General features: G+C 49.4%; 3 annotated features.

Moving 5' to 3' along the window:
• Window positions 230–740: an enhancer, noted in NCBI's record as "H3K4me1 hESC enhancer chr18:76573303-76573813 (GRCh37/hg19 assembly coordinates)". NCBI's record gives its function as "activates a minimal SCP1, AML or CMV promoter by ChIP-STARR-seq in primed H9 embryonic stem cells {active_cell/tissue: H9 hESC(primed)}" and the evidence as "EXISTENCE:reporter gene assay evidence [ECO:0000049][PMID:30033119]".
• Window positions 3,551–4,050: an enhancer, noted in NCBI's record as "H3K4me1 hESC enhancer chr18:76569993-76570492 (GRCh37/hg19 assembly coordinates)". NCBI's record gives its function as "activates a minimal SCP1, AML or CMV promoter by ChIP-STARR-seq in primed H9 embryonic stem cells {active_cell/tissue: H9 hESC(primed)}" and the evidence as "EXISTENCE:reporter gene assay evidence [ECO:0000049][PMID:30033119]".
• Window positions 4,051–4,552: an enhancer, noted in NCBI's record as "H3K4me1 hESC enhancer chr18:76569491-76569992 (GRCh37/hg19 assembly coordinates)". NCBI's record gives its function as "activates a minimal SCP1, AML or CMV promoter by ChIP-STARR-seq in naive and primed H9 embryonic stem cells {active_cell/tissue: H9 hESC(naive and primed)}" and the evidence as "EXISTENCE:reporter gene assay evidence [ECO:0000049][PMID:30033119]".

Below are 13,343 nucleotides of genomic sequence, written 5' to 3'. Positions count from 1 at the left end.
CAGCTGATCAAATGTGGGATCAGTGGGTGGTGAGCTCTCAGCTTCCACAAGGCCTCTGTGAATCTTGGATTTTTTTTTTTTAAAACAGAATTTTTCCATTCTGAAAATTAGCAATGCTGTAAAGTACGAGGCTTTAAGTACTTTATTCTATGTCATGGATATCATCTGAAGACCAAACAGCTCTGGATTTCCAAATTTAGCACTTTTTCCTCGCAAGGAGAGGCTGATCCATCCTGTTAAAATATCTGACTGGCATGTGGAATCCAGTAATTTACGTTACTGAAACGCGGTGTATGACAGAAGCCAACAGCAGGCTGCACAAATCAGAGAAAAGCCACGTCTTCAGGAAGTTGTTGAGTTGAGTCCGGAGGATTGTTTTCTGCAACTGTATCTGGTTGCTAAAACTCGAGCCACGACACACCTTTGAAACATCATTAGCTTCCCAATGGCAGATGAAATGAGGCCGATTTTCAAACTGCGCCCTCAGAGTTGGTATTTATCTCCCTTGCAGGCAATAGGAGCCAGGCCTTTGAGTAAAGAAACACCACCAGGCAAGTGGAATCGCAAAGAGATCTGCGTGTGTGCGAGAGAACAGGGCAGCGACCGGCATGGTTCCAGAAGGAGTCAGCGCCGGATGGAAGGAAGGCGGGCGCAGAGCCATGGCCACGCTGGCCCAGGGGTCGGGAGGAAAGGGAGGCGGGCGCAGAGCCACAGCCAGCCAGGCCTTCTCCATCCCCTGGGGCTTCCTCTCCCACTCCTCTGCAGCAGAGGGGTCGCAGGCCCGGCAGGTCGGGTCAGGGCCCCAGAGCTTGTGTGGTGCCCAGGGCACTGGACCTGCTCCCGGGGAGCTGCGTGCAAAAATCACATTTAAACAAGAGGTGCTTTGAATTCCCTATTTACTCAGGAAGCTTAGACATACTTTTAAAAGAACTTAGAGATAAATACTGTTTTGGGGAATAGAATCCCTTTGCAGTGCGCATGGTTATTCCTGGTTTATCGTTTTCTTACGTAGGCTTTCCATGCAGCAGCGTTTTCTTTCCCCTTCTCATATCTGAGGCATATTTCAGAAGGAGGTATACGGTAAATATCTTAAGTTCAGGATCCACATAGTTCATAAGGTAATTACTTATTGCTGTTAGATTTTAAGGTTTCGAATAATGTAACCTGTCTCCCTCCCTCCCTTTCTTCCTTCTTTCTATCCTTCCTTCCTTTCTTTTTCACTTCTTTTCTTTTTAAATCTTATTCTGACGTTAATCCTTTAAGTATCTAGAGCAGTCCTTTAACTATCCATGTAGAAATGTCATACTGTTGAATTAATGACTAACCTGGGTCATAAACAGGGCTCCTTGTTTTCCAGCCAGCTGGTCGTGTGCCCCCACAGATCAACCAAATTACCTGGTTAATCCGTGCCCTAATGCCTTCCATAAACATTTGCTGAGTGCCCACTATGTGTCAGGCACAGCCCTGCCCTTGGAAACACAGGAACAAGTGGGATCCAGTCCCTGTTCTCAAGGGGCTGATGGTCTAAAAGAGAGGGAGAAGTGGAAAGTGTTGGTAAAGTGGGCACGTGTGACAATAAAGATACTTGGTTTGGTGGAGCGAAAGGATGGAGTGACCCTTTCCTGGGGTGTGGGGGTGTCCAGACAGGGAGATGTTCTGCCTGGTCCTGAGTGGCACATGCTGGTGGGTTTCAGGACCGAAAGCAAGAGCGTGGGTCTCAGCAGCTGTGCAGACACTGTGCCTGCAGGGAGGAGGTGGGAGAAGGGGGGCCGGGAGGGAGCGGGCTGTGCCCACAGGCACCAGGAGCCCACAGCCCGCCCTGCTCTACACGCAGGACCCGGCTCCCTTGGCGTGTGGGGCCTCTGTGCAGGGAGATTCCTCTCTTCCTCCTGAAAGTGGCCCAATATTCTGAGCAGCTCACTGAAACACATGACTAAACACTACTTTAAAATGACCTTGTTTATAATTTTCCTTTCGACAGTCGGATAGCTTTCTGCTTATTTGCATGGGGGTGGTGCATGGTTCACAGGTTGCTGTGTCTGTGAACCTTCTCTTTCTGCTGATAGTGGGCTTTGATTAGAGGAGCTGCACTGCCTTCAGCCTAGAATCCCACCCTGCTGCATGAATGGCTTCTGAGCCAACTGCCGCTCTGTGCCCAGGAACTCCGACCTTATCCTCCCCGAAGAGCCCCACAGTGGTAAGGGGTGCAGGGCTCAGGTGCACCTGCTGGCGTGGCTCCAGCCTTGTCCTCTTCCTCTGAGGTGGCTGGGCAGGTGGTCCCCAAGAGTTGCATCCAGCTGTAAGGGTCTAGGATCATAGCGGGCTTTGGTATGTTTCCTTGAATGCAAATCTTTGGCAAATTCTTTTATTCCGGGGTCCCCCACCCCCTGGGCCATGGATGCATACTGGTCCATGGCCTGCTAGGAACCCAGTGGCCCAGCAGGAGATGAGCGGCGGGTGAGTGAGCAAAGCTTCCTCTATATTTATAGCCGCCACCTGTCACTCACATTACCACCTGAGCTCCACCTCCTGTCAGATCAGCGGTGGCATTAGAATCTCATAGGAGCGCGAACTCTGTCGTGAACTGCGCATGTGAGGGATCCAGGCTGTGCACTCCTCATGAGAATCTAATGCCTGATGACCTGTCACTGTCTCCCATCACCCCTAGATGGGACCGTCTAGGTGCAGGAAAACAAGCTCAGGGCCCTCACTGATTCTATGTTATGGTGAGTTGTAGAATTATTTTAATTATATGTTACAGTGTAATAATAATAATAGAAAGTACACAATAAATGTAATGAGCTTGAATCATCCTGAAACCACCCGCACTGCTCCCCATCCATGGAAACCCAGTCTCCATGAAACTGGTCCCTGGTGCCAAAAAGGTTGGGGACCACTGTTTTTATGAATGAAATTCTGGAACAATTCTCAGGTTGAAGAATTTGTGTACCTGTCAGGATAACACTTCATAAGTAAAGCTTAAAGCTGGCTTAAGCTCCCAGATAACTACTGTGGGCTCTTTCCCTTTCCCCGAGAGATGGCGTGTGTCACAGTACCTGGTGGCTCAAACCGTTAGTGAAGTACGACTATGTCAGGACGCTGCCCGGGACTGGATCACGGTCACCAAGCCGCCGGGGGCTCGGCGATTCTGCTCCTGGATGGCTGCATTTTCTCAGGCTTCCCGTAACACGCGCTGCTGTGTTCTGGACTCCAAGGTGCTGTCCAGGTACAGGGCGTTGTTTCAGAAGCAGTTCTAGGCAGTGACAAAAAGTGATGGAAAAAGCGGTACAGGCAATTTTGAGGTGGCGCCGTCTTGATCCACTCATGTGCCCTTTAAAGTTAAGATTATACATAAAACGTTTCTTACTAGAAGTCCCATTTCTCAGGACAATTTTTTCTTTTTCTTGAGATAGGGTCTTGCTCTGTCATCCAGGCTGGAGTGCAGTGGCACAGTCACAGCTCACTGCAGCCATGACCTCCTGGGCACAAGCCATCCTCCCACCTCAGCCTCCCAAGCAGTTGAGACTACAGGCCTGCACCACCAGGCCTGGCTAATTTTTGTATTTTTTGTAGAGGCGGAGTCTTGCTATGTTGCCCAGGCTGGTCTTGAACTCTTGGGCTCAAATGATCCTCCCGCCTTGGCCTCCCAAAGTGCTGGGATTGCAGGTAGGAGCCACCACATCTGGCCAGGACAATTTTTGAAAGCATCTGACTCAACTCTGGCCAATAAGTGTGTGAATATGCATGCACATGTGTGTGTGTGCATGTAGTGTCTGGGCCTGTGTATGTGTGAATGTGCACATATGTGTGCACCTGTGTGTGTGCATGCATGTGGTGTGTGTGAATGTGCACGTATGTGTGCATGTGTGTGTGCATGCGTGTGGTGTGTGCATGTGTGTGCATGTGTGTGGTGTGTGCATGTGTGTGTGCATGCGTGTGGTGTGTGTGCGTGCATGCATGTGGTGTGTGCGTGTGTGCGTGCATGTGTGTGTGCGTGCATGCGTGTGGTGTGTGCATGTGTGTTTGCGTGTGGTGTGTGCATGTGTGTGCATGCATGTGGTGTGTGCATGTGTGTGTGCATGCATGTGGTGTGAATGTGCACGTATGTGTGCATGTGTGTGCATGCGTGTGGTGTGTGCATGTGTGTGTGCATGCGTGTGGTGTGTGCATACGTGTGGTGTGTGCATGTGTGTGTGCATGTGTGTGGTGAGTGCATACGTGTGGTGTGTGCATGTTTGTGTGCATGCATGTGGTGTGTGCATGTGTGTGCGTGCATGTGTGTGGTGTGTGCATGTGTGTGGTGTGTGCATGTGCGCTACTGGGTTGGGTTGATTTAGCTGCATATTATCTACCTTTGTGTTGTTAGTTATTGAGAAAATAATTTCATCTCAGAAGTAAGAGCTTTACAGGAAGTCACACTGACAAGCTGATGAATATTGAGGTACCTTATAAATAGCCCCACTGCCATCACAAGAAGGGGGTATGCTATGCATCGTTGTGATTTGTGTGATATTCCGAGTCCTGGGAGATTGGGTAAGGCTCAGGATCTTAGGTGCAGTGTGGGGTCCTCTGAGTGGGGTCCTCTGTGGGCTGTCTCAGCTCCTGTTTGTGAAGTGGTGTGAGATCCTTAAAAGCGAGTTTCTGCTGATGTGACAGTGATGGCCATCAGGATTGCTGTCTGCCGTAGTTACTCTCGGGGAGTTTGTCTCTCCGTAATGACCACTTCTTCATGCCCACATTCTCATACTGGGAACAGCTGAGGAAACCTGAAGCAAAGTAAGACTAACCACTACAAATCCTGTTGGTAGTGAGCCCTTTTGGGTGGATAATTCCAAAGACTCTATTCTCCAAATAGCCTTTCCATTGGAGTTTGCAGATTTGAGTGATAGACAATGGAGAATTTATTTTTATTTTTTAGTTCAAATCTTCATTGCACCAAATAGCTATCAGATGGCTCTCTGTGGAAGATGGGATTAAAATGCAGGTCCTTGTTCAAGCAAGAGGAATAATCTCATTTAAATGGTTAAAGAATAAGCACAGCATGAATGCTGTTTCATCATTGTTAAGCCCAGCTTTGTCCTCATTACTGAAGAGAAGACACCTTAATTTTTGCTGTGAGAAGCCAAAGAATCAAGTGGTTGGTCAAATTAAGAAGAGGCCATCCATCCATCTATCCATCCATCTGTGCAACTGCTGGGGACTGAAGCAGCACGGCCGGGTACTGGTTACCAAAAGCAAACTTAATTGCCAATTATGGGATCACAGACACCTGAAAACCCTGGCGCCGGGAAGTTCACTGAGAAACACCTACCTCGGGTGTTTTAGTGAAGGAAACACTTACCTTGGGTGTTTTAGTGAATTTAAGGACTATAATAAAATTGAGGCAAAGGACAAATATTCTTTTGCACGTATGTGAAATCTCTAAGTGGTCTAAGGAATTAGAGTGAGCTGCAGGTGCTGTGTGTGTGTGTGTGTGTGTGTAAGGATCCTTATGAGGACAGTTAGGACTGTTCTAAAAGCTTTGCAGGGCATTTTTCCTGTTCTTTTTTTAGTGACTTGTTAGGAAGGGGCCCTGGTGGAGGCTCAGGGCCGGCCATTCAGCCCCCAGCTCAACCCATGCTTTCCTTCCTTATCTCTACAGAGGAATTCATCCATGCTCTGAGCCACAGGCCTTCCATGTAACGAAGGCCACACGTTTGCATAACACAAACACATGTCTTTATGCATCTATGTAAAATGCGCACTACCAACAATTGTTATGGGGGTAATTCTGCTCTATGAAGTTGTAGCCAACACTGAAATAGTGAATCTGGAGCCATTGCTCCTAGGGGAAATACAAGTTCAGGTTCCTGAGAGCCTCCAGTCACAACAGTTTCATCAGCCAGTCAATATATAATTTTGTTTAGTGTGTGTTTTTGTTTGAAGATGCTTTATTTAGTATCTACTGTTGATTCATTAGCATTGAACTCAGGGCCAGCAGCACTGTAGCTTGTGCTGAACGAAGCTTCTCTACATGCGTGTTTTCTCTACACCAGGCAGTGCTCCAGCACCGCACTTGGGGATGTTTTAAACAGTGAAGTCTGCAACAGCACTAAACAGATGGGGAAAGGACACTTGTTTGGAGTCTGACAGCTGAGAGAAGGCTGTGTGTCACCCTGCATGGCCTCAGCTGGGAGCGAGAGCATTGGTGACTCATTTTCTGCTGCTCTGTGCATGTCCTCCACTGACTGCAAAAGGGCCACAAGTATTGATTTTGGGGTTACAGATAAATTTTAGAGAGTGGGCACATTTGCAAATAAAGAATCCGCAGATAATGAGAACTGACCATATCTGATTATATGTAGGAAGTTCCTGAAAGGTAGGTGAGGTCAGATATTATTTCTGTATGTAAGGGAAACACTAAGTGCATATCTTGGCAAAGGCCAGTGGGAAGTAAGCTCACATGGTATAAAAGGCATCTCACATTCTGAGAGTTGGCAACATTGAGGATTTTGCTTCTGAACATTGCAGTTCTCTTCTTTCCCCATCTTTGCAAAGCCACTTCCAGCCTCTGCATTGGGGTTGCCATGTGACCCATTCAGGGAGAAATACTTATTTCTGATCTAAGCGGGTCTCCCAGACATTTACCAACGTTGTTTTCCGTTGCATTGACTCAGTTAAAAAACTGAGCCTGCCTGGCTCCTTCTCGATTCTGCATTTCCTCAAGGTTTGATGTCTGGTGTGGTTGTCAACTATTTTATAGCTAAGGAATAAGACAGAAAAGTACATAACTATGAATATCTGTGGGTTCTACTGAGCTCCCGTTACTGTTTGGATGTGAGTCTGAAGCAGATGCACAGGACAGCGACTCACATCCCTGTTAGTGACACAGTGGATTTTTCTGTTGATTTGTTATCGTTTTTTATTATTGGCATTAGCATTACTCTCCAAGATAATGAATATGCAATAGGAAAAATGTCCTGGCCTCATTGGCAGTGCATTATTTTTGAGAATCCAGCTCCGCAGCATTGAGTGGAGCCATTTCCATTTTACCCACATTCCATCAAGGGTTTGTCTTTTGCATCCCCGAGCAATTGCATAACTCTAATATTGACCTTAACTGAAGTCCTTTGTTTTCACCCTAACAGCCTGAAGCATTAAAAATGCGTGTTTACTTAATTTGTCCTGGCATGCAGTGTAATTACAAGCAGTTTGTTTTCTCTGTTGTAAAATATGGTCTGGAGAAGGAATAAAGGAATGTGGAAAATTAACATCGTGATGTACTGTATAGTGGAATAACACTAAAAACACTTAGCAGTGTTAGTACTGGAGGTGCTATTTGTGTTGTGTGCAAGAGCCATAAAGAATTAAATGCCTCCTTCTAAACTATATTTGCATGATTTTCAACTGCAGTAAAATTAATCTGATCTGCCTCTAAGAATAAGCAACACAACAACAACAAAATGAAAGACCCACAGCGTTGACTGGTGCTGTTGTACTCTGAAGTGATGCTTCTGTGTTTGTGCGACCCCACATTGGTTTAATGGGATTCACTGCAGGACAGCAATTCTTGGTGGAGTCCCAGAGGCGGCTGAAGGGCTTGTGCATCTGTGTGTGTGTCCCTGGGACTCCAGCAGGGGTGTCCTTTGGGCCAGTTTGAACCGGGTGTGTCCAGTTGGAAATGTGGTTGGCAGGGCCAAGCTTTGTCTCTTCCGGCTGTCCTGTTGCCCTCATCCCTGTTGGCTGGAAAGGTCTTGCCTTCTTGGCAGAGTTTACTGCTTCTCTGTCTTGTTCTTGCTGCAAAACGTTTTGTGATGCTCTGTATGAAGGATACTGTATAAATAATAAATTGCACTGTATCATTTATCCAACTTCAGGTGATCACAGAGAGAAACATAATAAGCCTCTTAAAAGAAAGTGAACCAACTCCCCCATTCGCCTGTGGGGCACGCCGGGACGTTGTCCACATGCCTGAGGGTCTGTGCACGTGTGGAAAGTGGCACTTTTGTAGTGAGGCAACACTTCTATTACACACTTCCTCCCAACCTCGATTTGTTAGTTTTAAATAGCCCAAGGGATCCGGGTGGCTGAGCGCCACTTCCTCCTTGGCATTTGTTCTTCAGCTGCTGACCTGCCTGAAAGTGGCCTTATTCAGGGAGGGTGGCTTTTAACATGGGCTGCTTTAAAAACCTGGGCTTCTGGGGCATCTGAGGCCTTCTGGACCTGCATTTGCTGTGAAACGACAGTGGAAGAGGCTCCTGAGTCCATCACACGCTCAACTTCTCTTGTGCAGAGGGTGGACCTCACAGATCCCCATGGGGAGACCCCATCCCCGAGGAAAGAGGCCTGCTCTGTCCCCTGAAAGAGCACATCCACTCTCCTCTCTCCTCGAGTGGCAGCCACAGGCTTTATCTGGCTTTATCCCCACACCGTCTGACTCCACTTCATCGTACTCAGGACGGTGAGGTGACTGCAAGGAAGGAGAATGCTTGTTAATATCAGCCAAAGAACAAGAGTCCCCTGAACCTGACAGTGGCAGGAAAGTCATCAGGACAGGTCAGGCTCAGCAAGGACCTTAAGAACAATTCCCTCTGTAATTTATGGCCTTTTGGGAATATAATCAATAGCATTCAAGAAAACCCATCACCCCGATGGCTCTCGCTGTTGGGAGGGTTTCCTGTCTTTGTCATGGTTGTGTTCTGTCTGCCATCCCTGGCTGTGGCCACCTCACTCCCCTCTCTCAGTGTAGGAGACACGTGTGTTTTATCCTCAGCGCTCTGTCTCCTCTGCTGATGTGCACAGCATCTGATGCCTCCTTGAATGTGTGTGTAAATGTGTTGGCCCATGAAGGCCTCAGCAAACGTTCCTGAGGCTGCCGCTGGACGAAGAGCGCCTTGGACATTGTCATCACACTGTAGACCCTAGCCCCATATTTATTTTATTCTTTGTTTTGTTTTGAGACAGAGTCTTGCTCTGTCACCCAGGCTGGAGTGCAGTGGCATGATCTTGGATCACTGCAACCTCCGCCTCCCTAGGTCAAGTGATTCTCCCACCTCAGCCTCCCGAGCAGCTGGGATTACAGGTGACTGCCACCACACCTAGCTAATTTTTGTATTTTTAGTAGAGACGGAGTTTCACTGTGTTGGCCTGGCTGGTCTCGAACTCCTGACCTCAGGTTATCCGCCCACCTCAGCCTCCCAGAGTGCAGGATTACACGTGTGAGCCACCACGCCCGGCCCATAGCCCATATTTAGTCACAAATTCCCACCAAGGGCCGGCTCTCAGGGGGCTCCCATGCTGGGCACTCCTGGCTGTCCACACGGTTTGGTTTTGGTGGCTGGCCATGAAAACAGAGGGTGCGGTAGCCTCGTCAGGCCGGCGGCCAGCCCCCTGCAGCCTCCCTCTGCCCCTGGCTGCCATTGGCATGAGGACAGCACAGGCGGAGTCCTGGGGCCAGCGTGGAGGAGGAGACCCCTGCCCGTGCTGTCTCGAAAGGGTCCAAAGAGCCACCAAGTGAGTGCTGGGCCTGGGGAGAGTCAGGAGGCCTGGCCCCGGGGGCCTGTACTGCAATTTGTAGAAACCCAGGGCACTGTTGGGATGGCCCCTGCCGAGGCTTCAGCTCATGGGGTGGGTCTGTGAGACCATGACTGCAGTTTGCTCAGCAGAGCTGGCAGGAGGGCTGCCCCAACAGAGGCAGTGGCTGCGGCTCAGCTGGACACACCTGAAGGGCCTTCTGGCGACGCAGCTTCAGGTCAGTGTCCTCTCCGTGTCATGGAGCAGATGGCCACACCGGGAACAGCGGGCCCTGTGGCCCCTCCCCAGATCCCACCTGGTCCCGCCAAGCTCATGACACTCCCCAGCTCGGTGGGACGTGTAGGCAGAGCATGTCTGGATGCCCCATGGCCCCAGAGTGCCTGGCTCTCCATCTCCTTCCACCCACAAGCTGCGTCCCCCTGGGCTGCTTTCTTCAACCTTCCCAATTCTCATCTTGGTCTTGGGCTTATTTTGAGTTTCATGCCAGGTGGATCCATCCTGGGCACTTCCTCGGAGCAGCTTCACTGGGGTCTGCATGGGGTTTCTGGCACGAGTATCCTGGGAGGAAAGGTGAGTGTGGACCCTTTGGTGGAGGGAGAGGCTGGAAGGAGAAAGACTTCTGTGGGGTGGGGCCTCCTGCCCTGAAGCCCTGAGGTTATACAGGTGGCCTCTGTATTCACCCGGGATTGGCCCCAAGACCTCCCTCGGATACCCAAAGCCTCGGATGCTCAAGTCCCTGATATAAAATGCTGTGACGTGGTGGGTCCTTCGTATCTGGGCTTTCAATCTAGGGCTATTGAATCCGAGGATATCAACCCAGAGGACAAGGAGGTCGTTGTGCCTGTGGCTTCCGCTCTGCGCCTGGCCATTGCTCCCTGGTTAATTTTCCTCACAGCCCTTGGAGCTGCCAGGCCCATCGGCCGACGGTCCATGTGCAGCGAGCAGGGGTGATGTGTGTCATTGCCGTGACACTCAGCTTGTTAAGGAGAAGCTGGCAAAGACTCTGATGAATGAATTAATGATTCCCAAGACGTGCTTTCCAGGGAGGTGACTGCTGGAGAGATAGACAACCTAAAACCCGCCATGCACCCCGCCCTGGGAGCCCCTTCTGCACTCTCCCATGGAGGCCCCTTTTGGGGTTGGTATTCTTAGTAGGCGAGTAAGAAACAAACACCACAGAGGCACAGATGATCTCTGTGTGCCCGGCTGGTGAGCTGGCTCAAGTCTCTGCATGTGGGTGCCTTTCTCACAGACGGGCCCTCTGAGGGATCTCAAGGGGTCATCCATAGAGAACCCGAGTTGGAGGAGAAGAAGCCAGATGGCTGGCCTCCACCCAGGGCCTATGTGTGGTTCACAGAAGAGTCGCACTTCTCCAGGTGGCAGAGGCCTGCCCTGCAGAGGACCATGAGGTCGTCAGGCAGAAGGGAAAAGCCGGTGAATTTTTTTTTGGCTGCTAACAGCTGGAGAGGGTGGATAGATTTTTGGCACGCTCTAAAAGGTTGTTCATCCATGTCCCTGCAAAGAACATGAACTCATTCTTTTTTATGGCTGCATAGTATTCCATGGTGTCTATGTGCCACATTTTCTTTATCTAATCTATCATTGATGGGCATTTGGGTTGGTTCCAAGTCTTTGCTATTGTAAACAGTGCTGCAATAAACATACATGTGCATGTGTCTTTATAGTAGAATGATTTATAATCCTTTGGGTATATATCCAGTAATGGGATTGCTAGGTCAAAGGGTATTTCTGCTTCTAGATCCCTGAGGAATCACCACACTGTCTTCCACAATGGTTGAACTAATTTACATTCCCACCAACAGTGTGAAAGCATTCCCATTTCTCCACAGCCTCGCCATCAAACATCCCATGTTCTCACTCATAAGTGGGAGTTGAACAATGAGAACACATGGACACAGGAAGGGGAGCATCACACACTGGGGCCTGTTGGGGGCGCAGGGGGCTAGGGGAGGGAGAGCATTAGGACAAATACCTAATGCATGTGGGGCTTAAAACCTAGATGACGGGTTGATAGGTGCAGCAAACCACCATGGCACATCTGTAGCTATGTAACAAACCTGCATGTTCTGCACATTTATCCCAGAACTTAAAGTAGAATAAAAAAAAAAAAGTTGTTTATCTGCCCCTTTAACTATTGCTGAGTCTCCCTGGGGCAATGTGGTCATATCTCATGAAAAGGAGTGTGACTGTCCTTCCATGGAAGAGGTGCGAGGGCTGTGTCTTTACTCTGCCCATCAACTGTGCCCCTCCAGCCTCCGTTTCCCCTCCCCCATCCCTTTCTCCTGTAAACACTGTCCCATGTCGCAGAACCACGTAAAGCTGTGGACGGTGATGGGATGGGCTTTTTAGGCAACCGAGCTGGCACTCCCCATCGCTTCCTGGGTTTGCCTGAAGGCATTTTGATTGTTTGAGGTTCCACAAACGGAGAAAGCCTTGTCTGAAGTTTGGGGGTTGTCACTTTAGCTTCACTTTTTGGTGTCTTGGGATAGCGGAAAGAATCTGGAAGAAACGACATTTGCGTGTGGATGAGATCACTCAAATACACAAACATCTGCAATTGGAGGGACAGGAATGAGTTTGTTGGAAGTGATGCTTCCTGCCATTTGATCTCACAGGTTCTCTTCAACTGAACAGAAAGGGCAGGATATCCAGGCTTTGCACAGAAAGCTGTGGTCGGAGGTGGGCCATGCCCACCAAATGCTCCAGGAGTGCCCCACACCTCCCAGCCTCCCTTGGCAATGAAGGTGGAGAAAAGGCAGTCATTGCCCTTTCAGGGAACGGGCAGGCAGGAGCTGGAGACCCTGCCTCTCCTCCCAGATGGTGATAAACATGGGATCCTGGGTGCCAGATGGAGCTGAGTGAGAAATTTCCATGCTCTGGGTGAAGCTGCTGAGATGTAGGGTGCTCGTGTTACTGCAGCACAGCCTACTCCACCCTGACTAATCTGAGGAATTGCCACTTCTCCTGCTGCCTCTCACTGTACCTCGTTCCTGCCCTACCCTCCATTGTGATACCAACTCCCCATTTTTGTCCCTGGAAACAACTTTAAATTTGTTGGTTGTTTTGGGTCAGGTAAGTTAATATCTGATAGCATCTGTGAGACCTCAGTGGCCAGAGAGAAGCACCCAGATGGCTCTTGTTGGCCTGGTTGTGTCCTGACAGGGTGGGTGACCGGGTTGTCCACGTGATGTGATGATCGTGTCTTGGTTCTGTACCTGTTGGGCCAGGCAGCCTCAGCAAGTGTCCTGGGGAATGTATGCCCTGCATCTGGTGAGTGAAGCTGGCCCCAGCCAAGTCCTAGCCACCCCCGGGCCTGGCGTTCTGTAACTCTGGGATCCGTTCTTCCTGCAGCCTGGGGGCCGGGGCAGTCACAGAGCAGTGGGGATGAAGCAGCTGGCTCCAGGCCTCCCAGCTGCCACCACAGCCTCCAGGAGACCACCCCTTTCCCATGCCAGGAGATTCTATTAATGTCATCCATTCAGGTGCTGGGTGAGACCAAGCAGACCTGGCACTGAGACATATTTCCAAGTTCAATGAGGTATCTTCCAGTTCGAATCCCACAACCTGTGCTATTTAAAGGAAACTGACCTATAAAAAGCAAAATAAAAATGTTCTGAAAATTAGATGACAGTGATTCGCATTTGTGTTAAAACTGATAAATAAAACAGAATTTTGTAGCCTGATTTGAAGATGTGGCTATTTGGTTATTAATTCTGTGAAAAGTGTATTTGGTAGGAGCACTGAAATTCGGCACCAATTCAGACTGCAGTAAGTGTGTTACTGAGGACACACAAGGAACCCAAGAGTCC

This window comes from Homo sapiens, chromosome 18, assembly GCF_000001405.40.
Source record: "Homo sapiens chromosome 18, GRCh38.p14 Primary Assembly".
NCBI lineage: Eukaryota > Metazoa > Chordata > Mammalia > Primates > Hominidae > Homo > Homo sapiens.
The sequence above is the reverse complement of the archived record's forward strand: the minus strand, read 5'-3'. Positions and strand labels throughout refer to the sequence as shown.